Below are 27,664 nucleotides of genomic sequence, written 5' to 3'. Positions count from 1 at the left end.
GCCAGCCTATCCCAAGCCAACTTTACCTGAGGCACTATGGCAGCTGCTCCTTTAAGACAGGTAAAGATAACTGGAGTTCAACTCAAGTAATATTCAGCTGAAACCCTCATCAATACCAAAATCCTAAAATGTGTGACTCTGGTTACCACTGGCACTCAAGGCCAGAAAACATCTGCTATTAGAACCAGGTAATAGTTCCCTCCACCCAGGGGGGCTCTGCAGTTTATGTTAAGGGCACATTAATTTGAAATCCCAAACCTGGCTTTCTCAGTGTAAGCATTTATTGTTTGGCCCGACAGAGGTGTTAGCTACAAGCTCCAGGCAGATCAACTTTTTATAAGCCAAGCCATATTTCAAATTCATGAGGTGAATCCTCTATAAACGAAGAAATATTCCTGAATTTATCTGCCCCACAGATCTTCATTTTCAGTTATTTGATTTCCTTAAGGGATACAGGTATGATCAGGATTATTGATTGGCATGGAAATAGCAACATCAACAGTGAAAGTTACCTGACAGACTCTTGGAATGAGAAGAAATCTGGATTTCTTCAATTAAGAAATAGGAACTGCTGTCCCTGCCAAGATAATACCTTTTTTTTGAGACAGAGTTTTTTTGCTCTGTTGCCCAGGCTGGAGTGCAATGGCAGGATCTCAGCTCACTGCAACCTCTGCCTCCTGGGTTCAAGCGATTCTCCCGCCTCAGCCTCCTGAGTAGCTGGGATTACAGGCACCCACCACCACGCCCAGTTACTTTTTGTATTTTTAGTAGAGACAAGGGGTCACCGTGTTGGCCAGGCTGGTCTCGAACTCTTGACCTCACTCAGGTGATTCACCTGCCTTGGCCTCCGAAAGCGCTAGGATTATAGGTGTGAGCCACCACACCTGGCCCAAAATGATAATACTCTTGGGAGTGATAAGACTAATCCATACCTGTTATCAATACCATAGCAAATGAGTTTAGAGATCGTTGCTTGAAAAGAGACTTTTATTTTGGGGGCCAGTATAGAAAAGCTACAAGGTCCAGGTTTTTTGAGATATGGGGAGATGGCAAGGAACAAAAAGAGAGGAAAATGGACAGAAATGAAAAGGTGAGGTCACCCAAGGCGAACTTAGTCAGCTTGCCAATTTTACCTGGGGTTCAGACCTCACTCGATTCTTTCCATTTCCATGTCGTGAATGGGGGGAGGTGCAGGAAAGGGGACACTCATCTGGGACTGGGTAACTGTCAAGCCCAATCTAATCAAAACCACCCTAAAGCACACAAGGACTGGAGAAGAACACTAAAAATTTAGAACAAGATATTTAGACAAGATGCTTCCTAAATTCTGTGAAATTTTCATGAAGTAAGATTCCAAACCAAGTTCATTATCTCTCTCTTTCCTTAAATAGACTATAAAATATGGTGGCCTGAGAGCCACAGAGAAGAACTGTGAGCCAAGAGAAGGGGCCACAACCAAACTGGAGAGAAATCTCTTCTGTCATTCCCCAAGACCTGGTTTCTAACAGGGTGGCCTTGGCATTTCTAACGGGGTGTCCTTGGCACTTCTACAGTGGCCAGTACAGCTCAAGAAGATTAACTCTGTATTTGTGGGTCTGTTTCTCATGATGACAAGTTGGGTCCATTGTAATCCGTCCAGACTTGTCCTCCTTTGCCCTCCTACATTTCTGGATCATTCAGTGCACTAATGCACTCTAAGTCCCACTGTGATGTAATTAAGGGATAATGTTTGCAGGAACGAGTAGAGAACATTGTAAATGCCACCTGTGGGTGATTAAATGCTGAGGGGAAGTTGAATAACTACAGAATTCATTGGATGCAAGTCTCTTCCAATGCCACAAGCATTGTTTCCCGATTATAGGATAAAGTTTCTAAAAAGATACAAAGCATCCATAAGCAAACATTTTCATGCCTTCATCTTCCTCTAAGGAATAGAGAATCGAAACTACTGCATCCTGAGAATGCTTATCTCCTCTAGGAGGGAGACGTGGGGACTAAGTTTAGATGTAAGGAATGAGGATTGAAAATGAAGAGCTGCTCCAGGAAGGATTAAATGGGGAAATAAGTGTATACCTCCTGAATACTGTAAAGAAGAACTCTCCATTCCTGTGTGAATAGCTGTTTGTATTTCTCAGTATAATTTTATTTTCTAAATTATTTTTTTTTTTTTAGAGATAGGGTCTCACTCTGTTGCTTGATTTGGAGAGCAGTGGCACAAGGCTAACCTCGAATTTCTGGGCTCAAGAATCCTCTGCCTCAGCCTTCTGGGTAGCTAGAACTACAGGGATGCACAATACCACACCTGGGCAATTTTTAAAATGTTTTGTAGAGATGGGGGTCTCACTATGTTGCCCGGGCTGATCTTAAACTCCTAGACTCAAGCAGTCCTCCAGCCTCCCAAAGCAGCGGGGTTACAGTGTGAGCCACTGTGTCTGGCCACCTCGCTGTAATTTTTGACCTCAAGGAACCATTCACTTATCCTTTCCGGGTCTTAATTTTGTGCATCTGGAAATGTGGGGGTGGGAATGCTTGGATCAGGTGAGCTCTGAAGTTCTTTGCATTTTAGTCCCACATACGTCATACTGGAAAGTATGGGTGAGGAACTGGAAAATGGGAATTCTCTCACACTGCTGTTAGGACTGCAAATGTAAAATTTTAGAAAACTTAAGACTGAAATGTGTATTACTTGTGATCTGGTAATTTCACTTTTAGATATATTAAAGAAACTTTCACAAACGTGTACAGAGGGGCAAAGACAAAAAATCTTACTTCATAGTGTTTGTAAGAGCTGAAAACTTGAAAAAGACTTAAATGCGTATCAACAAGGAAATGAATAAAATATGGCCTCTTCACAAAGGAATACTAAACAGCAGTTAAAAGGAATAACAGGATGGGCATGGTGGCTCACACCTGTAATCCCAGCACTTTGGGAGGCCGAGGCAGGTGGATCACGAGGTCAGGAGTTCAAGACCAGCCTGGCCAAGATGGTGAAACCCTGTCTCTACCAAAAATACAAAAATTAACTGGGTGTGGTGGCAGGCACCTGTAGTCCCAGCTACTCGGGCAGCTGAGTCAGGAGAATCGTTTGAACCTGTGAGGCGGAGGTTGCAGTGAACCGAGATCATGTCACTGCACTCCAGCCTGGGTGACAGAGTGAGACTCCATCTCAAAAAAAAACAAAAAAACGAAAAAAACCCCAAAAAAACCCACAAACCTTTACATGAATCAATACTGATATTTCCAAAAATGCAAGCCATTAAAAAGTTCCCATTGGTAAAACTTGTGGAAATCTGGGTAAGTAGAAAGAAAAATGACTCACGACTCCATAGTAATACTCAAACAAAAAAAAAAAAAAAAAGAAAAAAGAAAAACAAATCAATCTTTTGAGTGACAAAAACAAAGTGTAATATAACACCTAGAGCAGCAATCCTCAACCTTTTTGGCACCAGGGACTGGTTTCATGGAAGACAATTTTTCCATGGACTGGGGTGGCAGCGGGGGGCAGGGGATGGTTTTGGGATGACTCAAGCACATTCCATTTATCGTGCACTTTATTTCTATTATTATTACATTGCAATATATAATGAAATAATTATATAACTCACAATAATATAGAATCAGTAGGAGCCCTGAGCTTGTTTTCCTGCAATTAGAGGGTCCCATCTGAAAGTGATGGCAGACAGCGACAGAATATCAGGCATTAGATTCTCATAAGGAGCGCACAACCTAGATGCCTCATATATGCAGTTCACAATAGGATTCATGCTCCCATGAGAATCTAATGTCACTGCTGATCTGACAGGAGGAGGAGCTCAGGTGGTAATGCCAGCAATGGGGAGTGGCTGTAAATGAAGCTTCACTCACCCGATGCTCACCTCCTGCCATGCAGCCTGGTTCCTAACAGGCCAAGGACCAGTAATGGTCTATGGCCCGGGGGTTGGGGACCCCTGACCTAGAGTGTGAAGTCATTTGCGTACATTTTAAATGAATATGAAGATAATGCCATTGAGCGTTCACAGATGTGTGTGTAAGTGTGTGTAAAAGGAGAAAAAATAGGAAATACATAATTTCATGATGATAAAAGTCTAGGAGGTGAGGTAAAAGTCTGTGACTGGAGACTGGGGATAAAAGAAGACTTCAACTGAATCAGTACCACTGTATTTCTTTTATATAAAAACACAGAAAACAACAATGTCATTTCTGGATGGTGGGGAAGAGATGATTTTTATAGAAGGCATCCTTTTCTGCATTAAAGGAAATAGTCTCAAAATAAAGAAGTGCATGAGCATTAATGCCTTTGGCAGATATGTGTTGACAAGCACTCCTTCCAGACCCCATGGAATAGGTCAGGTGCCACCATAAGCGATTCAGAAACCAAGGCAGCCCAACCTGTTAGGCCTTCAGTGTCTAGCTCCATACTCTCCAATATAGTAGACACATACAGTTACTTGACTTTAAATTAAAATTAATTAAAATCAATTTTTCAGTTCCTCCATTGCACTGGCCACATTTCAAATGCTGAACAGCTACATGTGATTAGTGGCTATTGTACTGCTGGCACACATACAGAACTTTCTGTTATTGCTGTAAATGCTATTGGAATGTGTGCTATTATTATGTTATTGCTGTAAATTCTGTTGGAAAGAGCTAATCTTTAGCTGAAAACCTGTCCTTTTGACAACTAGCACATTTTGGTCACATTGCTCTTTTTCTAATATGTCCCTCTGCACAGAGGAGAACAAAGGTAATGGCTAGCAGATTTTTTTTTTAATCTCTGGAAAACATATGTCCACTATAATCCTAAACTACAATTACATCTGAAGTAACCCTTTCTTGTTAAAGAGAATTAGGTAAACTATGTTTAGAAAGAGATTTGGCAATCACCTACGGTTACATAAATATCACATTTCATTTCCCTGAAACTTAGGAAGTAGGAAGACAGGTTGAAGGATGAGAAAACGTTATTCAAATAAAACTCAGAATGTGAGCTCAACGGTTTTCCAAGAACCTGCTTTTCTTTTTTTCTTTTTTTTTTGAGACAGAGTCTGGTTCTGTCTCCCAGGCTGGAGTGCAGTAGTGCAATCTTGGCTCACTGCAACCTCTGCCTCCTGGGTTCAAGCGATTCTCCTGCCTCAGCCTGCCAAGTTGCTGGGATTACAAGCATGCACCACCATGCCCAGCTAAATTTTGTATATGTTGTAGAGACACGGTTTTGCCATGTTGCCAAGGCTGGTCTCAAACTCCTGAGCTCAAGCAATCCTCCTGCCTCGGCCTCCCAAAGTTATGGGATTATGGTGTAAGCCACCACGCCCAGCCCGAGCCTGTGTTTCTTACCTGTACACAGTGTGAGGGACATATACTTCTCGTGTTGGAAATTCCAAAATCTCTTTGTGCGGGCGTGTCCGGTTTTCAGGAAAGGGTTTCACGGGCAGCATTTCAGGAGTCAGACAGCAATTGATGATCTCTGGAGCTGTAGAAATCTCCAGTCTTAGCAAGCCTAAAGAGAGAAAATAGGAATGTTCTAGTAAAGAAACTGTCATGTTATGAGGGAATCAAGAAAGATTGTTGCACTGTGTTTCTTTCATGAAAATAAGAACAAACTATAGTACTGTAAAAAAGTTTTGGAGCTAATTTCCTACAGCTTGAGAAAAGTGTGTCATGATAACTTTCGAGATTTAGCCTCTATAAAATAAAATATAAAGCAAGAAATTGTAAAATGAGAAGGAATGGATTAGAGGATTTTTAAAGTTCTTTCCTGAATTACCACAGTATAATTTTACATTGTTAAGTAACTTCCCTGCATTGCTAGCAGTAAAAATTGGGAGTTTTAAAATTGGCTTCCAGCCGGATGTGGTGGCTCACGCCTGTCATCTCAGCACTCTGGGAGGCCGAGGCAGGTGGATCACGAGGTCAAGAGATCGAGACAATCCTGGCCAACATGGTGAAACCCTGTCTCTACTAAAAATACAAAAAATAAGCTGGGCGTGGTGGCAGGCACCTGTAGTCCCAGCTACTCGGGAGGTTGAGGCAGGAGAATCACTTGAACCTGGAAGGCAGAGGTTGCAGTGAGCTGAGATTGTGCCACTGCACTCCAGCCTGGTGACAGAGCAAGACTCCATCTCAAAAAAACAAAAACAAACACAAACTGGCTTCCCTGGACCTGAGGATGCTACAGAAGTACCTCCAGGGCTGCCGAGTGAGGATAAGGAAGATGCCTTTGCCTTCTACCAAAGCATCTCACATTTACTTTTTTAATACTAAGTATAATATTTTATTTGATTAAAGGGGCTCCTCTGTTTAAACAATTATCTCATTATCTGAGAAACCAGATCTAAAGCACAAGGTTTGTTTACTAAATCAATCCTTTAAGAAAATTAAAAAAACATTAATAGGTTTGCCAAAGACATAGAACAATTCAGATTCTTAACCCCTAACACAAAATCTCACATTTCACTTGGCAAACATGATTTTATAAATTCTGGCATTAGACAAAGACTGTGTCTAACGATAAGCAGTTTTGGCACAGCTAAAGAGGATAAAGATAAGTCATTCACACCTGGAATTGACTTGACTCGTCTCTGTAAGGATGATGATCTTTTGTAGTCAGCTAAAAACTTGAATAAGTCTTCATCGCTAAGGCGATCTCCTTCCTGCCAAGAGAAAAGTCAGAGTTAATGTAGATGCACCTTTGACTCTTGGGTTGGGGACAAACGATTTCTGGGAAGATTTTTACCTTTAAGTTTTATTCTCACAAGTCTTTCATAGAAATTAGGATTATAGACAGCTCTGAAATCACTGAGCTCCACTTCTTGTTAAATCCTTCTCAATCACTGTGACTCACTGTGCCTCGGCCTCTTATCAGTCCTTCTGGGGATGGGGCATCTGCTGCATTCTAAGGAAGCCCGTCTGACCATTAGAAAACCAGGCCAAAAGCTTCCCCCCGATAACTCTCACCCTCTGATGCCAGTATTACCCCCCGGAACAATACAGAATAAGTTTACTTTCTTCTTCAAATGTTCGAAGGTGGAGAAAGCATCTTTCCATCTCATTTTCTTCACATTTGTCTCGAACAAGGTTAAGTATAAATGCTGTCCACCCCCACATATGCCCAAGATGGGTCAGGAGCACACATGCATGATCTCCAATCCTTACAACAACCCAGTAAGGTAAGTGGGTAGATATGTCTTATTCCCAGTGAGACCATCCAGACTTAGTTAAGTACCTTGTCCTCCAAGGTCATAAGATTGGGAAGGGTACATGTATGCTGAATAGAAACCTTTTCAGACCTTTACTATTTCTATGATGTGGCACGGTGCACAGGCGCCCTCAGCATCCCTTTTGCATTTCAGTTTGTTAATGTAACCCCTTTAAATGCTCCACGAAGACTGCGTAGCTATGGAAAACTTTCCAAAACAGAGTCAGACCAAGCGAGTTTATTTTAAGTGTGGCAAAATATAACTAACATAAAATTACCATATTACCTCTTTTTTTTTTTCTTTTCTGAGATGGAGCCTCACTCTGTCACCCAGGCTGGAGTGCAGTGGGGCAATCTCGGCTCACTGCAACCTCCACCTCCCAGGTTCAAACAATTCTCCAGCCTCAGCCTCCCAAGTAGCTGGGATTACAGGTGTGCACCACCACACCCGGCTAACTTTTGTATTTTTAGTAGAGACGGGGGTTCACCATGTTGGCCAGGCTGGTCTTGAACTCCTGACCTCACATAATCCACCTGCCTCGGCCTCCCAGTGCTGGGATTACAGGCATGAGCCACTGCGCCCGGCCCATCTTACCTGTTTCTAAGTGCACAATTCAGTAGTGTTAAGCACATTCTCTTTGTTGTGCAACCAACCTCCAGAATGCTTTTGTCTTGCAAAAAAAATCTGAAACTCTGTACCCTTTAACCAGTGACTCCCCACCCCTCTATCCCTAGACCCTGGCAACCGTCATTCTACTTTCTGTCTCTATACCGTTGACAAGTCTAGGAAGTTTTTTATTTTTTTAAATAGTCTTGATGTTTACTGAGCTAACAAAGAGTACCATCTGGAATGGTCACCCTCTCTGAGCAAGCAGGGAGCCCTGGAAACTTGCACATCAAGCAGTAGTGAAAGTGGAAACTTGCACATGAATAGCCAGGCCAAGAAACCCTGAGATCCACCGGGAAGGAGATGGCCCAGCCAGACTGTTGTCATAGCATAATGAATGGATTGGCCAAGATAGTTCAAATAGGATAGTTGGTATCACAAGGAACAAAACCTAACCCTTCTCTCAGTTAAAATAGCTAACATTCATTGAGCACTTACTGTATTCCAGGCACTCTAAGAAGAGCTTGACAGGTCTCATGTCACCTGACCTTCCTGCTAGCCACATGAAGTTAAGTACTATTGTTCCCGTTTTCTGGCTAATGAAATTGAGGCTTTGTGAATGCTGTGGTTTGAATGTCCCCTTCAAAACTCATGGTGAAGCTTGGTCCCCATGGTGGCAGTGTTGGGAAGTGGAGCCTTTAAGACGTGATTGAATCATGAGGACTCTGCCCTCATGACTGGATTAATCCATTCACAGATTAATGGATTAATCTGCATCATGGGAGGGGAACTGGTGGCTTTATAAGAACAGGAAGAGAGACCTGAGCTAGCATGCTCAGCTGCTCACCGTGCTCCACCTCAGGACTCTACAGAGAGGCCCCGCCAGCAAGAAAGCCCTCACCAAGGGTGGGCCCTCAACTTTGGATTTTTCAGCCTTCAAAACTGAAAGAAACAAATCCCTTTTCTTTTTAAATTACCCAGTTTCAGATACTCTATTATAAGCAGCAGAAAATGAACTAAGAGAGTGAGCTTAACTAATTTGCTCTCTTAATCACTACGTATCCTCCTCCTGTGGGTTCCAGTGCCCATGCCAGTATGGGGAAAAATCCAGACACACTGTAATGTGAAGAGATACCTGCTTGAAAAAGCTGCTAACGCTCAGAGTGGAGGTTTTGAAGTTGGATCCAACCCCATTTTCCTCCAAGGAGAGGGCTCTTTCAGAAAGCCTTCTAGATTGGGCCAATGTCCTCCGTTCACCCACTGAGCTTCTCCCTTTAAGAAAAACAATTGTCACTCCAAAGTATGCCTTTCTGTTCAAACACACAGCAGTTATTAACTTCACAATATGTATGATTAAAGTCACTGATCAGGAACACTGAATATGGCCATCCTTGTTTTGAATGAAAATGTCCTTCCATTGGCCCCTACCTTTCTTAGTCCTCCTGTTGGTGTCCTTAATCCTCCTCCGACCAGAGGAGAGAGGCCAGGAGCAGCCATGGGCCCCTCCCACATGGAAATTAGGGTAGCCCAAATGCCACCCGGCAAGAGTCCAGAGCTATAGCCAGAACAGGGTCTCCTGATAAGCTTTATTTAGTCAGCACAGTGTTTGCTTTTCTTTTATTTCTATATTTGCATTCCACTGGGAGAGGCATGTACTCAAATGCCCCTGAAGGCATTTGTGATTGTGACCCAAACATGCTGGGGTCAGCCTGTGTACACTCTGAATCCCAGCATTCCTCTGCTCTCATTATGTGGACCAGGCAGCAAGACTGAGTTTCTGCCTTGGGTGATCTGCCCAATGGGAATTAGAACCCCAAATCACACTCAGACTTGGGCTGGGACCCTGATAGTTTGCCCAGTTGTTTCTTATCCCCTTTTGGGATTTGGGTGGAGATCTTGTTGCTTTTATATTGCAAAAACTCATGGGTTCTCTTGTAAATAATCAAATTGCTTAGAACTAGAGCAGTTCCAACCCGTCTTTGAGTATCTTCTTATCCTTAATTCTTACCATGATGTTGAATTAGAATTTCTTGCTACCTCTACCCACCTAAACTTGCCATTCTGCCTCAGTATAATACATGACATCTTTGCATCTTCTGGTTGCTCCTTAAGAATCAGTCTCTGTTGTCAGGTTATCCTTGACCTAGAGATGATTGAGGCCTCAGCATGCCCTATCCTGAATTACCTAGCTTGTGTGCCCTCTAAGCTCTATACATAACTCTTATCAATAAGTTACTTGGGTCTACATAGACGGCATTAAAGAAAGCTGTGGCAGGAAGATCAGGATGTGGTAAAGTGAGGTTTGTTATTGACGAACCAGAAATAACCCAGGAGTTCTGACTGGTGATTATGTACCAGTAACTCCAAAATAGCAGCAGCAATCACAAAATGCCCTTTCCTCCACTTCCCTGCTCAAGGTAGTATTTCAGAAGTGGCTTAAGCCTTAGCTTAAGGAATGCATGAAAAGATGTGAACATGGACTTCTATATTTGGTGGATACAAAAGCATTTAGGGAAAGAGAAACCCCACCACAGGTGATATGGGCAGGTCTACTTGAAAATTTGCAACCCTTTTGAAAATTTCTACACCAAGCAGTGTAGGAATGAATGATTCAGATCACGGGTGAGATGACGAAAAAGAAATATGCTAAATAAACTAAAACAGTAAATATTCTTTGGATGCCCATTTTTTCATTGCACTTGGCAAAGTAAACTTTAACGAACTGGAAATTTTGCTGGGAAACTTGAGTTTTTCTCTTTTTTCTTTTTTTTTGAGACAAAGTCATGCTCTGTTGCCCAGGCTGGAGTGCAGAGGCCTGATCTCGGCTCACTGTAACCTCGCCTCCCTGGTTCAAGCGATTCTCCTGCCTCTGCCTCCCGAGTAGCTGAGATTACAGACGTGTACCACCACACCCAGCAAATTTTTTGTATTTTTAGTAGAGACAGGGTTTTACCATGTTGGCCAGGCTGGTCTCGAACTCCTGGCTTCAAGCGATCCGCCTACCTCGGCCTCCCAAAGTGGTGGGATTACAAGCGTGAGCCACCACGCCCTGTTCCTGTTGAGTTTTGCTTTTTGAAGCCTTTGTAACAGAGGCTTTTTTTTTTAGGTTTAGGAGTCGACCATGGTGTCTCTGCTTAACACACTACAGATGGTTACTACATTTTCTTGTTAAAGTTTTACTTTTGAGAGCGGGTGGCTAGCAAAAATCAGCTTTTTAAAGTGTCATACCATCTAGAAAATCTTACTATAAGAGTATACTTAATCTTCACCAATGTTCGTGATAATTTCTTTTGGAGATCACCGTCCAAATCTACGTAATCCAGTCATAACAGTGTTTCATTCTATTTATCTCCTTCTGCCTCCCCACTTCCCACACCTCACTGTGCCCCCAGTCCCCGCTAGTAAGCTGTGGACCTGGGCAGCGCACACTGGGGAGCCCTCCCTTTCCCACTGCAGGTGAAAATCTTACCAACCACAGAGTCCACATCAGTTACCTCCCTCTCAAGGGTGGAGACATTGAAGAAGCTTGATAAGCTTATGGGTGCCCAGGCAAAGGGCATCCGGTATTTCCCCAAACGCTGGCAGAAGGATTCAGCTTGGAGTTTTAGTTTTTCAATCTTTTCTTTACTCTGGAGGAAAATGGAAAGAAACAAGCTGAAACAAGCATCAGCACCAAGTCAACTGCCTCTGACCTGAATATGACAGCCATCTCCAAAATCCAAACCCTACTGATTAAAAAGAGTAAAAACATATCTTCCCACTAAAAAATAAAAACAGTGAATAGGCAGAAAAATGATGCACTTGGGTCTAGCTGATAAGGAAATAAAGATTAAAAAACGAGGAGTTTACAAAAAGGCTACATTTAATTAGTAAAATACATTTTTAGCTAACGAAAACAAAAAGAGACTCATTACATCAGATTATCAATTCTTTTGGTGGCTAGCTATGTGACTTGGATTTGCATAAAAGAATCTTGAAATCAAGTTTAGTATATCATCTACCAAGCTCCCAAGTGAACCTGTTTCTCCAAAAGTCACCTTGGAAAACTCCAAAAAATTCTAAAAAGCTTCCTAACAACTCCTTAGGAAGTTTACAATACTTCCAAGGTGTTCTTTCTGAGTTCAGAATAAAAGACAGATTTTAAAAAAAAAATGCCTTGAGTTCAATAAATCTTACTTGACATTTATGAGTCTGTAGAGTACAATACTAATAAGGTAAGTCTTATTCCAGAAAGGCTATTTTTTTTTTTTTTTGAGACAGAGTCTCACTCTGTCACCCAGGCTGGAGTGCAGTGGCACGATCTCGGCTCACTGCAACCTCCGCCTCCCAGGTTCAAGCTATTCTCCTGCCTCAGCCTCCTGAGAAGCTGGGAATACAGGCACGTGCCACCATGCCCGGCTAATTTTTTGTATTTTTAGCAGAGACGGGGTTTCACCGTGTTGGCCAGGATGGTCTCAATCTTCTGACCTCATGATCTGCCCGCCTTGGCCTCCCAAAGTGCTGGGATTACAGGTGTGAGCCACCACGCCCGGCCAAGGCCATGTTTTAAAAATCACACTGGGAATCTTTGCAAATTGCTGTTGAGAAAAGATATCCTTTTCATAGGCTCAACACCTATGCTGTGCTAATGAATATATATAATGCATGGTAGTGGCAGCCAATTCCCAGTTATTTGCATACCTGAAAGGGCAGCGGCCCATGCTGTTGAGGAAGGCCAGGAGAGCTCTGGCACTGTTTAGTTTTGGGGTCTCCACGGACCTCCCAACCAGCTGAGTCAGAGCCTCAGAATGAAGACAACAGGGGGTGGCCTTGCCCCAATCAAGTTATGCAGTCAGACCTTGCTGTATGTCAACATTAGAAAATTCAAGGATTTATTTCTCTAAAAAATCATCATCAGGCTGGGCATGGTGACTCATGCCTGTAATCCCAACACTTTGGGAGGCTGAGGCAGGAGAATCACTTGAGGCCAGAATTATGAGAGCAGCCTGGGCAACACAGTGAGACCCCATCTCTAAAAAAAAATAAAAAACTAGCCAAGCATGGTGGCATGTGCCTGTAGTACCAGCTGCTCAAGAGGCTGAAGGGGGAGGATCATTCAAGCCCAGGAGTTCAAGGTTGTAGGGGGCCGTGATTGCACTCCAGCACTCCAGCCTGGGAGATAAAGTAAGACACTGCCTCAAAAAAAAAAAAAAAAAAAAAAAAAAAGTCATCATCGGTGACCAGTTTTCTTTTCCTCTTTTATTTAATTAAAATGTAGTAGTGTCTTATATAGGGACACATTAGGGACTAAAGCCCATTAACTATTTGTGTAACACTTCTGAAAATACCTGCTTCTTCTAAGATGTCTCCATTTAACAACACTCAAATTACCATACCTTTCCACCATCACTTTCTTTGATAACCGTGTAGGGCTCTGCACAGTCTCCAATCTCTCCCTGCTGCAGGACTTTTTCAATCTACCAATAAAAAGAATATTAAAATAAGGCACATAAATTACATCCATAAAAAGGAATCTATGCAACCATCAAAATTACATTTTATGACAATATTTGATGACATAGGAAGCTATCTGTGATACATATTTTTTTATTAAAAAATTTATATAAAGAATAGCATACAATTTTATTTAACAAATCATAAAGGCATATTAAAAGGGTGACAGTAGATACTCAGCAAATGCAGCAAGTGTTAATAGTAGTTAACTTTCTATGGTGGGATTATGTGTGATTTTTATTTTCTTCCCATTGCTTATGTGTATTTTCTATTTTAAACAATAAACATGTATTATGTATATAATAAAAACAGCAATAAAAGTTATTTTATAAAACAAAACCCAGGAGACATACGTAGGAAGTGGAAAACTCATTTTCTTTATTATTGCTTACAATGTAAAAAAGAGATATGGTCTCTGTGAAAGTTGGGTTAGGGACTAAAACCTTCCACAAAATGAATGACTGAACCGAATAAATTATCTGTAATTGTCTCCCTTGTAATTCCTATCAGGGCTAATTCTCTGGATTTAACAGACTTGGAAAGAAACTCAAAAGCATTGGGATGTGCAGCTTCTTGCTTTGCTAACTGGCTGTTGATAGGAATGAATGCTGGTAATAAGAATGAATGAAGTGTCTTCTGTCTTGCTTCAGGTAAAGTGACTGGCTGGCCAGTTGTCATAAATTTGGGCACCATATTTAAAAGAAAGACAAGGAGAAATTTGAAATTTCCTAACTCTCTGCTCAAAAAAAATTTAACTTAGATGTTGAAGAGTAAAACCAGTGGATTTAGTCCCATCAGTTGAGATGATCCTTGAAGAAAGAATTTGGGTCAACACAGTACAAAAGGGACACATACTTAATAGGTGCTGTGAGTTAGGCACAAAGTATTTAACAATACCCATGATAAAGGGGCATTTATGGGGTTTCAAAGGAAGCAGCATGAGGCTACTCAATGAATATCTGCTTCAGGGAGGACTCCAAGCAGGAAGTCTCTCTTCTCATCAAAGAAGTTCAAAACCCCCTCCCATTGCCACAGCATGAAGAGAAGGCGAATCCCACTGAGAGATGCACCACACTGAAAACATAAGCACGTAACACTTGAGCTAGAAACTGACCAGTATTCCTGCTAATCAGCAATCGTTTACTTATTGTTGAGTACCTTCTATATGGTAGCAGCTGGGAGATAAGGTGGCGATAAACACTGCCCCCATTCTCCTGAAGCTCATAGTCAGGAGCTTGTAGAACAAATTGGAAGGAAGCTAATTTTTCCATGAAGTGAATGGATTAAAAATGTGGTCTTTAGAATAAATTCTGAACAGAGATGAAGAACTTCTTAATTAGGACCCTGAAGCAAGGAAGGGGAATGCCACGGCTTCATGCACTAGTAGTGTGTATCATGGAACATACAGGAAGCAGGAGAAGTCAGATTTGACCAGACCAGCAGATACTATGCCCTGGCTGCAGTGGGCAAGGAGAACTCCAGGTACTTCATGAGAAGGAGCTGCAGACCGACATGAGAACCTATTGTTTGTTCCCTCATGATTTATGCAAAAGTGTGTAATGAAATGCATGACTCCTCATAACCATGGAAAGTAGGGCAAATAAGCCTATCAGATTAACCTAAAACTTTTCTTAAGGGAACAGACTACTTTCTGCTCTATTCAGAAGGGGTAGGATTAACACTTGGCATACCTATTTTTTTCATATTTCATGGCCATTTATTGTTTACCTAATTATGGTATGTCAGGTACAGGGTAGGTGTTTTTACATACATTATTTCAATTTTCTTCAAAACCACTCAGGCACAGGGATCATTGTCCAATTAGACTGACAGACTAAACTTGCTACCATACACAGCAAATGTAGCAAAATAGGAATTTGAACCCATTTCTTTGAATGCCAAGTTGTTTTTTTAACTGGATTGTAAACTCTTTAAGATGGGAAATTTAACATCTGCAAGACTTCTAAAGTGCTAGGCTCTCTGCTTTGTGTTTTCTCAAACTATGTGGCCCTTACATAAGGATAGGCCCATCGCAACTTATGAAATATTTAAATTGGGCACGGCATACCAATTTTTAAACAATTTTTGAAAAGTTTCCAATTCAATCCCATTTTCACTCTTCTTTCCTTGATTGTAAAACAAATTCTTTTTAAAAAAAAATTTCACAAAATCTTGAATTAAACTTTTAAGCGGAAATAATCCCTTAAAGCCGTATTATATGCAACACCTGAACTAGATGATGCTACCTAAAATACAGTAAAGACCCTGATGTTCGGCCTGGGAATATAAACAAAAAAGAAAGAAGCCCCTCTTACCAAATAATGTCTGCCTGGATGTGCTAAATAGTTTAACACCATTTACTATATATTTAAAGGGAAAGAAGCAACAATGATGGCATTACGATAAAGAAAAGCAAACAGAAAGCCAACCAGGGGCTGTCTTGCTGAGTAGATTTCAATTTCTTAAACCTATCCAAACACTTTAGTATGTTTGTTATGCCAAATGAACACATTTATACATTTGAAAATTTTGGAACATATTTAGTAAGTGATAGGAACCAATGGGTAACCACTGTTACTTGGCAGAATATGACGGATTAATCAAGAGAAAGTCATCCACTGGGAAGTAGAGTTTGAGATAAAATTTGGCTCTATAGAACTAGTGTTGGCTTCTTCAGTTTCCTAGGCTGACAGAGAATTGTGAACTTACCTACAGGGCTATCATAGTGGGCTTTAATTTTCCTGTATGTCTAAGTAATATTGCAACGAAAAGGAGACACATTGAAGTTTGACAACAATAGAAGTGTCTTTTCAGCAATATAATTTTAACTATACTTCTATAAGCTTAAATAAGTTCCCCTCAAGCTACAGTAACCTCTCATAATCTTTGTTATATGGTGTTAAAGAAGCTAGAGTGAAAAGACATTTGCCATCTGTTAAGTGACCTCAAAGCTACCTGAATTATTTGGAATCCATGAGATCATGGGGCGATCACTGAGACTACAGACATAAAACACTGTACTAACTAGATAATGTTCCAAACCTAAGAGGCTGGGGGCACATGAAATCAGACACCTGAATTTGTTGTTTTGTTTTTACAATGATTTTACGGCCGGGCACAGTGGCTCACGCCTGTAATCCCAACACTTTGGGAACCAAATACAGGTGAATCACCTGAGATCAGGAGTTTGAGATCAGCCTGGCCAACATGGTGAAATCCTGTCCCTACTAAAAATACAAAAATTAGCCTGGTTTGGGGTGGTGGGCTCCTATAATCCCAGCTACTCGGGAGGCTGAGGCAGGAGAATCGTTTGAACCCGGGAGGTGGAGGTTGCAGTGAGCCGACATGGTGACACTGCACTCCAGCCTGGGTGACAAGAGCAAAACTCCTCTCAAAAAAAAAAAAAAAAAAAAAAAAAAGAATCAATAAGACCAATTATCTGGCCTAAGGTAGGTAAAATACCTGATGTTTGTTAATTTCTAACCAGTCATTTTGGTGTACAGAGAAAGGATCTGGTTTTCTTACAACAGCAAAGAGTATAGCCTAGAATGAAAGGCTCTTCTACTTACAATTGCCCCATAGATTTCAACTCTCATTAGAGACAGTCTGTGACATGGTAAGAAGAAAAAAAAAAAAGGAGGATGAAACTTGAAAACCACAGCCCACGCTTCAGCTTGTAAGAGGCTGGACTTGGGAACACGTAACTATGCATCTCTAGAGCAACATGAACATCGTTAGGAAACTCTAGCCCAGAGATTTTGTTCCTTTCTCCACAGCAGCTTCTTTGCACCAGGTCACTGAGGGAACTCTCCTTAATTAGGAGAAGGGTGCCCAAGATGTGCCAAGCTTTATTCTGTAGTCATGACTATCCACTGAGGTCAGTGTGATTATCTCCACTTCACAGATGAGGAAACTCAGTCTCAGAAAGACCAGGAAACTGCCAATGCCATTTAATTACTAGGTTGTAAAGCCAGGACTCAAACCTAGGTCTGTGTGTCTCCAAAACCTAGTCTTTCTAGTATCTGAAACAGTTTACTTAGAACGGAAAAGGGGTAAACTGAGAAGGAAACAAAGTGAATCTCAGAGGATATGTGGACACATTCTGAGATTGCGTGCACCCCAAACATGTGCTGGGAACAACACAGCAATGAAAACATCAGATTGGGCAAATCAGATCGTACTGAATTACCTTGACTACCAGGTAGATGTCTGAGGACGGGTAGGTGACTGAGAAGACTGCAGATCTCGCCTGACTTGATGCGGCCACTGAAGGCGTGTGAGCTCGCAGAAATCCTTTGAACTGGTCAGAGTTCAGGTCACAGTGAAAATTTTCTGAGATCTGTAAATGAGCAGCAAAGTGAAATATAAGTTAGACCTGTTGCATTCATGGTTTAAACATGTTAAAAAGGAGTAAAAACACCACAGAGAAATTTTGCTGAAGGAGTAAGTGTAATAATCACAGATGTGGTTTAGGAAAGTGGCTCCTGGATAAATCTGACAAATGTTTTGTCACAATGTCTAGGTATTCTGGAGCCATTTGAGAGATGTTCCTTGAAACATTTAAATGTTTATTAACCCACCGGTATTTCCTGAGTATCAGTTACTTCACTACAGAAGAGGAGGACCTCTGCTCTCAATTAATTCACAATCAAGAATGAGGGAAGGACTGGGTGTGGTGGTTCACACTCGTAATCCCAGCACTTTGGGAGGCCAAGGCGGGCACATTGCTTGAGCTCACGAGTTTGAAACCAGCCTGGGCAACATGGTGAAACCCTGCCTCTACAAAAAATACAAAAACTAGCCAGCATGGTGGCATGTGCCTGTGGTTCCAGCGACTTGGGACGCTGAGGTGGGAGGATGGATCACTTGAACCCGGGAGGCAGAGGGTGCAGTAAGCCAAGATCGCCCCACTGCATGCCAGCCTGGGCAACAGAGTGAGACCCTGACTCAAAAAAAAAAAAAAAAAAAGGTGAGGGAAAAGGTAAACATGTAACTAACTACAGTAAAAGCAAAATACAAGTCACCACATGCATACAAAGAAGCACTGTGGAAGTTCCAGAGTGACAGGCCATTTGCAGTTGGGTGACAAGGACAACTTTTCATGGAAGCAGCACTGGAGATGGATGGGCCTTAGAAGATTCTGATAGGCAGGGGTGGAAGGTGATGATGTGCCAGGGAGAGATTAGAGTATGAATAAATATCTCAGAGGCTTGAACGGCTGGGGGAAGCTTAGTCAGCGGTCTAGCTTGACTCTGCATAGACTATGGATGGAAAGAAGGTAGAGGAATGCCATCATGAAGAAAGCCTGGTTGTAGGGAATGAATCTTAGTGAAGATTCTGAGCAAGAGCATGATGTGAACAGTGCTCCTGGCTCTCTTAGTGTCGTATTACTTAAGAGCCACTGTATGGTTGGGTTCTCTCCTTCATCACCATGAGAATTTTAGTGGTGAGTGGCTGCCCAGGCAGAGACTACATTTACCAGCCTCCTTTGCAATGAGGGGTGATCATGTGACTCAATTCTCTCCAGTGAATTGTTAGCAGAAGCAATGTATCAAACTTCCAGGCCTCCTCCATCCTTCTTTTCTCTTCTTCAGGGGCAGCAATGGCAGTGACAAGAGTAATTTGGGGAGAGAACATACTGAAGATGGAGGAGCCACTGCCAGCCTGTATTTCTGAGTGGCTGCGTGGAACAGAGGGGTCCCTCCTCCCACCCTGGATGGTTAAAGAAACAAAGACAGCAACTTCTTGCTTATAGGCCAGCGGTTTTCAAAATGTGGTCCCCTGACCAGTAGCTTCAGCATCAGCAGGGGACTGTTAGAAATGCAAATTCTCAGGCCCCACCTGGACTTGCTGAATCAGAAACTCTGTGGGTGAGGTCCAGCAATCTGTGTTTTAACAAGTCCTCCAGGAGATTGTGATGCATGCTCAAGTTTGAGAACTACTGCTTTAAACCACTGAGATTGGGTTCTGCTTGTTTTAGCAGTTAACCTATCCTACAAATCTCAGTGATTATTAATATTTATGCAGGAGATGCTTGTTTCCTTAAATACAGAATGATTATGGGTAAAGAAGGGCAGAAGTGTCCATCCTACTCTGGATTTGCTATTGCTGTCCTCTTCTAGGAGTCACAAAATGACTAAACATTAAAAACACACGAGAGGTCTTGGTCACTGTTTTCATTAAAAGCACATTACAGTTGGTAAGGTCTGAACTCTGTGACAAATTGAGACCTCTACCATGTAAGATGCCCTTCAGTCATGAGCCTATTTCACAGTGCAAAGAACTCTCAAACTGAGGAAGCTTTACATGCGCATCCAAGCTTGTTAAAAATGTATTTAAATGGGTTTGTTTTATACATAACCCCATGCGCTATTTCATTCTTTCTCTATTCCAACCAGGCCAGCACCTCCAGTAGCCTCTCCCTCTAAAATTCTTCAAAGATCATAAATTACATTCTCAGACCACTGCTTGAAAAATTGCAAAGGCAACAGAACTGGACTCATCAAAGATCATTTGCTTTCAAATCTGATAGGTTCTTGCTGCAAAGAAATTTAAAAACATACATGCAAAGAATCATGAACAATATATGTGCCTTAGGGATGGATTTTTCTTTGCTTTCTTACCTTTTTCCTTTCTTTAACATCGTAGAGGGCAATGCTGGCAAACAGGGGCTCAATTTCAATCTCGAACCTACCATAGAAAGAGAGGAAAATCTATGTGGCTTTGAGTTAGATAATTTTGAATTTTCTGAAAACACCTAGATAGATAAACTGGTTAAAAATATGAGCAGTTTCCCGAAATATTTGGAAAACTCCAAGTATATGAGAATCGCACTGGGATATTAATAGAGAAATATAGGAGGTTTGTGAAAAATTCCTAATCATTTGAGATCATGGTGGACATTACAAAAGCATGGTGGATATTTTTGGAATATCTCACTCATTCACTCACTCACTGCAAGAGAGAGTGGGCTGAATGGACCTTTAGTGTGATTCACCTTCTTATTGTAACTACTGTGTTTTCAGAGGGTAGACTTTCTGTCTGAGGTAATGGACTTGTTCACATTTCACATTTTATTGCTAGATAGTATCTGTTTCACAACTGCAAAGATATGGAACCAACAACCAACCTAATTGCCCACCAACCAATGAGTAGATAAAGAAAATGTGGTATCTATACACTATGGAATACTGCTTATCCATAAAATAGAAGGAAATAATTAATGTCTTTTGCAGGAACTTGGATGGAGCCGGGGGTTGTTATTCTGAGTGAAGTAACTCAGGAATGGAAACCAAATGCTGTATGTTAGTGGGAGCTAAGCTATGAGTACACAAAGGCAAACAGAGTGGTATAATGGACCTTGGAGACTCAGAAGCAGGAGAGTAGAGGGGGATGAGGGATAAAAAAACTACATACTGGGTACAATGTACACTGCTTGGGTGACGGGTGCACTAAAATCTCAAACTTTACTACTATACAATTCATCCATGTAACCAAAAACCACTTACCCTAAAGCCATTGAAATAAAAAAATTTAAAGGATAGAATCTGTATTATTCAATTCTAAGGAATGGGGCTTTTCAGATGGCAACAAAAGAAAAGTTCAATTGCTTTTCCTTAGATTTGTAGTGGGACAGTCAGAAGAAGGCTGGGTTTTGATGGGGATGAATGTCTGGCCCTTCCTAACTCCATTACTGGGGAGTTGCTGAGTTGAGGTCAGGGAGGGGCTTGAGCACAGCAGATAAACACTGAGGTGCCTGGGCCCCATGAGAGCTAGAAAGATGAGCCCTCATATTGGCCCTAATTGCCAATTCCCCTCGAAACGGTGAATCCCAAAGCATAATCCTGGTGCATTATTTGCCTTTAGTATCTTGGTGGACATTACAGGTGCACATGGAACACTGGTGAAGGTCTTCCAAGTTTCTCAGCTTGATGTCCCATGGCTTTGGATGTTACCTGCAGAGAGCACCAGGAAAAGGGCCCCAGTCCACCATTACCTCAGACATCATGTCAATAAAGTCATGTTTTGTCTCCAGGTATGTGTGAGAGGATGTCCTCATCAATGGATAGCTTTGTCTCAAAAGAGGACTTTTTAGAAGAATATTTGGACAGAATATGAGCACAGACAAAAAGGGTTATTTGCTCAAATGGCGCCTTTGGAAATGAGGCAATTTGGAATCATGGCAGACTCCCAGGGCACCCAGGCAGAGACCTGGACTCTGTTCCTCCTCCACCATCTGCTAATTCTGCGACCCTAATCAGGTTACTCGCCTTTCTGAATTCCATTTATTTATCTGCAAAATAAGGTAAGGATGCTTGCCTTTCCATTTTCCTGGTTGTTGTGAGGATCACGTATAATGATGTGTGTGAATGTATCTTAAAAACAATGCCAAGTAGCAGCACTATTCACAATAGCCAAAAGGTGGAAGTAACCCACTTGTCCATGAACAGATACATATATGAGGCCATAACAAAATATGCTACATATATACAATGGAATATTATTTAGCCATAAAAGGAGGGAGATTCTGATACATACTACAATATAGATGAACCTGAGGACATTATGAGTAAAAGAAGCCAGTCACAAAAAGACAGTTACTTCATGATTCCCCTTACATGAGGCACCTAGAGTAGTAAAATTCATAGAGGCAGAAAGTAGAATGGGAGTTGCCAGGGGCTGGGGAGTAGGGAGAATAAGGAGTTATTGTTTAACGGGTACAGAGTTTCAGTTTGGGAAGAGAAAAATTCCTGGAGATGGATGGTGGTGATGGTTGCAGAACAATGTGAATGTACTCACCACTGAACTGTACCTTAAAAATGGTTAAGATGGTAGATTTTGGCCAGGCGCAGTGGCTCATGCCTGTAATCCCAGCACTTTGGGAGGCCGAGGCAAGCGGATCATGAGGTCAGGAGTTCAAGACCAGCCTGGCCAACACGGTGAAACCCTGTCTCTACTAAACCACAAAAACTGGCCGAGCGTGGTGGCAAGTGCCTGTAATCCCAGCTACTCGGGAGGCTGAGGCAGGAGAATCACTTGAACCTGGGAGGCAGAAGTTGCAGTGAGCCGAGATCATGCCACTGCACTCCAGCCTGGACAATAGAGTGAGACTCTGTCTCAAAAAAAAAAAAAAAAAAAAAAAGATGGTAGATTTTATGTTACATACATTTTACCACCGAAAAGCCCAGTGTTGAGGATTTCTATGATTATTCTTTCTATTATTAGGTAATTGCACATTAATTGGGGGCTTTCTTTTTTTTTTTTTTTGAGATGGAGTTTTGCTCTTGTCACCCAGGGTGGAGTGCAATGGTGCAACCTCGGCTCACTGCAACCTCCGCCACCCAGGTTCAAGCGATTCTTCGGCCTCAGCCTCCCTAGCAGCTGTGACTACAGGCATGTGCCACCACACCCAGCTAATTTTTGTATATTTAGTAGAGATGGGGTCTTACCATGTTGTCCAGGCTGGTCTCAAACTCCTGAGCTCAGGTGACTCACCTGCCTCAGCCTCCCAAAGTACTGGGATTACAGGTGTGAGCCACTGCACCAGGCCAATTGGAGGCTTTCCTGGGCCTAGGCTCACCAGCTGCTGCCTGGCATGCTCAATCTATATTTAATTGTTTACTCCCTACTACACAAAGGGCCTGAATATTGCTGTGATATACTTAGGTTGGTACTGAGTAGTAAGTCCTCTGTGGTTCCGAGAAAGAAAAAGAGAATTGACATTTATTAAAGACTTAAAATTGTGTTATAATAAGTGCTTTCCACACATCAGTCTCTTTACACAACTACAGCGTAATGCAGATATTATCTGCATTTAACACACCAGGAAAGCAAGGTTCCCAGGGAATAAGGAACTTGCCAAAGTCTACACAGTTAGGGACTGGCACGGTCAGGTTTTGAGCCCAGCCATCTCTGATCACAGAACCTGGGCTTTTTCCGTGAGTGTTCGGTCAGGTTTTGAGCCCAGCCATCTCTGATCACAGAACCTGGGCTTTTTCCGTGAGTGTTCGGTCAGGTTTTGAGCCCAGCCATCTCTGATCACAGAACCTGGGCTTTTTCCGTGAGTGTTCGGTCAGGTTTTGAGCCCAGCCATCTCTGGTCACAGAACCTGGGCTTTTTCCGTGAGTGTTCGGTCAGGTTTTGAGCCCAGCCATCTCTGGTCACAGAACCTGGGCTTTTTCCGTGAGTGTTCGGTCAGGTTTTGAGCCCAGCCATCTCTGGTCACAGAACCTGGGCTTTTTCCGTGAGTGTTCGGTCAGGTTTTGAGCCCAGCCATCTCTGATCACAGAACCTGGGCTTTTTCCGTGAGTGTTCGGTCAGGTTTTGAGCCCAGCCATCTCTGATCACAGAACCTGGGCTTTTTCCGTGAGTGTTCGGTCAGGTTTTGAGCCCAGCCATCTCTGATCACAGAACCTGGGCTTTTTCCGTGAGTGTTCGGTCAGGTTTTGAGCCCAGCCATCTCTGATCACAGAACCTGGGCTTTTTCCGTGAGTGTTCGGTCAGGTTTTGAGCCCAGCCATCTCTGATCACAGAACCTGGGCTTTTTCCGTGAGTGTTCGGTCAGGTTTTGAGCCCAGCCATCTCTGGTCACAGAACCTGGGCTTTTTCCGTGAGTGTTCGGTCAGGTTTTGAGCCCAGCCATCTCTGATCACAGAACCTGGGCTTTTTCCGTGAGTGTTCGGTCAGGTTTTGAGCCCAGCCATCTCTGATCACAGAACCTGGGCTTTTTCCGTGAGTGTTCGGTCAGGTTTTGAGCCCAGCCATCTCTGATCACAGAACCTGGGCTTTTTCCGTGAGTGTTCGGTCAGGTTTTGAGCCCAGCCATCTCTGATCACAGAACCTGGGCTTTTTCCGTGAGTGTTCGGTCAGGTTTTGAGCCCAGCCATCTCTGGTCACAGAACCTGGGCTTTTTCCGTGAGTGTTCGGTCAGGTTTTGAGCCCAGCCATCTCTGGTCACAGAACCTGGGCTTTTTCCGTGAGTGTTCGGTCAGGTTTTGAGCCCAGCCATCTCTGATCACAGAACCTGGGCTTTTTCCGTGAGTGTTCGGTCAGGTTTTGAGCCCAGCCATCTCTGATCACAGAACCTGGGCTTTTTCCGTGAGTGTTCGGTCAGGTTTTGAGCCCAGCCATCTCTGATCACAGAACCTGGGCTTTTTCCGTGAGTGTTCGGTCAGGTTTTGAGCCCAGCCATCTCTGATCACAGAACCTGGGCTTTTTCCGTGAGTGTTCGGTCAGGTTTTGAGCCCAGCCATCTCTGATCACAGAACCTGGGCTTTTTCCGTGAGTGTTCGGTCAGGTTTTGAGCCCAGCCATCTCTGGTCACAGAACCTGGGCTTTTTCCGTGAGTGTTCGGTCAGGTTTTGAGCCCAGCCATCTCTGGTCACAGAACCTGGGCTTTTTCCGTGAGTGTTCGGTCAGGTTTTGAGCCCAGCCATCTCTGGTCACAGAACCTGGGCTTTTTCCGTGAGTGTTCGGTCAGGTTTTGAGCCCAGCCATCTCTGATCACAGAACCTGGGCTTTTTCCGTGAGTGTTCGGTCAGGTTTTGAGCCCAGCCATCTCTGGTCACAGAACCTGGGCTTTTTCCGTGAGTGTTCGGTCAGGTTTTGAGCCCAGCCATCTCTGGTCACAGAACCTGGGCTTTTTCCGTGAGTGTTCGGTCAGGTTTTGAGCCCAGCCATCTCTGGTCACAGAACCTGGGCTTTTTCCGTGAGTGTTCGGTCAGGTTTTGAGCCCAGCCATCTCTGATCACAGAACCTGGGCTTTTTCCGTGAGTGTTCGGTCAGGTTTTGAGCCCAGCCATCTCTGATCACAGAACCTGGGCTTTTTCCGTGAGTGTTCGGTCAGGTTTTGAGCCCAGCCATCTCTGGTCACAGAACCTGGGCTTTTTCCGTGAGTGTTCGGTCAGGTTTTGAGCCCAGCCATCTCTGATCACAGAACCTGGGCTTTTTCCGTGAGTGTTCGGTCAGGTTTTGAGCCCAGCCATCTCTGATCACAGAACCTGGGCTTTTTCCGTGAGTGTTCGGTCAGGTTTTGAGCCCAGCCATCTCTGATCACAGAACCTGGGCTTTTTCCGTGAGTGTTCGGTCCGGTTTTGAGCCCAGCCATCTCTGATCACAGAACCTGGGCTTTTTCCGTGAGTGTTCGGTCAGGTTTTGAGCCCAGCCATCTCTGATCACAGAACCTGGGCTTTTTCCGTGAGTGTTCGGTCAGGTTTTGAGCCCAGCCATCTCTGATCACAGAACCTGGGCTTTTTCCGTGAGTGTTTGTTCTTTAAGTGTAGTCCCCAGAATCTAGCATTTTGAAGCAAAAGAAGTTAGCCAGCATGCAGGTTTCTTGATCCCACCTGAGACCTACTCAACCAGAATCTCTTGAGGGAGATTGTTATGGAAGGTCCTCCAAAATCTGCATTTAAAAGAAACTGCCTGGGCAAATTTTCTGCACATTAAAGTTTCACCATCAAGAAGACTCCTAAGAGCTGAGATTACTTTTCATAAGATGGTATTAAATCTTAAAATATTTCTCCATTTAAAACACAAAACAGAAAAATACTTTGTTGTCATTCTTTTTTTTTTTTTCTGTTACAAACATTTGCAGAATTGGCAGGACCCTAATTCTCTCTGTATCTTTGAGGGTTTCTATATTTCTGAAAAGCAATACAGAGACAGTTACAGATGTCTACAACTTTAAACAAATTCCTCAGGGGCTAAAACATGTAGTATTATGAATAGAATCCTACATATCAATGTAAATGGGAAAACATTTGCCATTAATATTACCCTTATATTTTTACTATTCATACTGTCACATTCTAGGCTTACCTATAAGAATTTGTTTCTTTCTTTCATCTAGTTTACTCTAAGTAGTTACTCGGAGGGCTGTCTTTTTGGTCTATCTCTTCTCTTGCAGTTATAGGTTAGTATAGATACTATTTAAAACACATGAGCAGGCCAAGTGCACCTGGCAAATATGTCAATTCGACTTAATTTCTGCTTTGGCAGTTGCGGGGACATCACTAGAAACTGCACTTTACAATTTTCATTAAGAGATATTCAAGTGACTCCTCTTTTTTTAATTTTAGAGACAGGGTCTCACTCTGTCACTCAGGCTGGAATACAGTGGCATGATCATAGCTCACTGCAGCCTTGAACTCCTGGCCTCAAGCGATCCTTCCACCTCAGCCTCCCAATGTAGCTAGGGCTAAAAATTAACACATCTGTTAGTTTTTGGTAGAGAGGGGGTCTCACTATATTGCCCAGGCCGGCCTCAAACTCCTGGCCTCAAGCGATCCTCCCACTTTGGCCTCCCAAAGTGTTGGGATTACAGGTGTGAGTCACCACACTTGGCCTCCATTAACATTTTTTTAAAATAACACATATCTCTCTTAGTGACCATGTTTTCCCACCTGTGAGAACAGCTGCCTCTCATTCACTGGAGAGGTCTAGAAAGCTTGGCTATGAGCACCATAGAGGAGAATTTCTGCCATCTCAAATGACATAGTCGCTGCATCTAAAAGTAGCCTGATGATGCATCCTGTCGGGGCAGGTGTGTCCCTCAGACAATAGCGAAGGCTTCCTAAACAATGCAGAGGGGAAGAGCCACTTCCACTCAGTCCTCCCGCCAACCAGACAGATGAGGAAGCTCCCACTGCCAGGTTGGTTTGCAAGGGCAAGAGCTTGCTTTTCTGTGCCCATTACTTGACACTCAGCTGGTTTATGGGCTGCTCATTTCTCCGTACAAAAGGCCCTGAAGACCCTCTGGTAGAACTGGCCAGCGGGAGGAGACTATAATATCAAGAGACCACCCATAGCTGTGTGAGCAGACTTGCTGGCTTGTTTTCTGAGGCAGAAGAAGTTGGCAGAGGCTATGCGTTAGAATCATAGAAGTTTGTGGTAGGTAGGAATTTTGAGACCATAAGGTCTATCAACTTCATTTATAGGGAAGAACTCAAAATCCCAGGGAAGTTCCCAGGGGTTGAAACCCAGCCTTACATCCAGAATCCAGATGCCTTCTCACTGCAAACCAGGGGCCGCTGAAGGGACCTATGAAGTGACTTTGAGAGATGGATGACCCATCTAATAGTATATAAATAAATGTTACGCTTCTGTAGTTTTGCTTAGGTAAAATATGTACAACTTTAAAGTTTTCATCTGTGGATTTGAAGGAGAACTAATTCTTGAAAATAGCAGTCTGCAGAGACGAAGAGAGGTATGGAGGCACTCCGAGGGTACACAAGACAATCTATTGCAGTGGAAGAAGAAAATACTAGAATTTATATAGATTTATCTAGTTCATCTTTAAAATTTCTATTATGTTTTATAATGTAGATAATATTTTAATATGAAAGTACAAAATTAATACATGTCTATAG

At 42.7% G+C, this 27,664-nt stretch overlaps 1 protein-coding gene across 17 annotated transcripts in view, besides 1 other annotated feature; it reads right to left on the bottom strand.

Moving 5' to 3' along the window:
• The window catches only part of DOCK8 (dedicator of cytokinesis 8), a 253,999-nt gene that overhangs the window by 119,600 nt on the left and 106,735 nt on the right, over positions 1–27,664 (bottom strand). For all 17 annotated transcript variants that reach the window (XM_017015173.2, XM_047423927.1, XM_011518045.4 and 14 more), the window contains 7 exons: positions 19,919–19,985; positions 17,485–17,634; positions 13,178–13,258; positions 11,272–11,431; positions 8,938–9,074; positions 6,557–6,650; positions 5,335–5,497 (listed from right to left, as the gene is read on the bottom strand). In XM_017015173.2, coding sequence (XP_016870662.1) covers positions 5,335–5,497; positions 6,557–6,650; positions 8,938–9,074; positions 11,272–11,431; positions 13,178–13,258; positions 17,485–17,634; positions 19,919–19,985 — 852 coding nt within the window. The remainder of the gene's footprint in view (positions 1–5,334; positions 5,498–6,556; positions 6,651–8,937; positions 9,075–11,271; positions 11,432–13,177; positions 13,259–17,484; positions 17,635–19,918; positions 19,986–27,664) is intronic.
• Positions 13,699–14,674: an enhancer, noted in NCBI's record as "OCT4-NANOG hESC enhancer chr9:330982-331957 (GRCh37/hg19 assembly coordinates)". NCBI's record gives its function as "activates a minimal SCP1, AML or CMV promoter by ChIP-STARR-seq in naive H9 embryonic stem cells {active_cell/tissue: H9 hESC(naive)}" and the evidence as "EXISTENCE:reporter gene assay evidence [ECO:0000049][PMID:30033119]".

This window comes from Homo sapiens, chromosome 9 (genome assembly GCF_000001405.40).
Source record: "Homo sapiens chromosome 9, GRCh38.p14 Primary Assembly".
NCBI classification, from domain to species: Eukaryota; Metazoa; Chordata; class Mammalia; order Primates; family Hominidae; genus Homo; species Homo sapiens.
The sequence above is the reverse complement of the archived record's forward strand: the minus strand, read 5'-3'. Positions and strand labels throughout refer to the sequence as shown.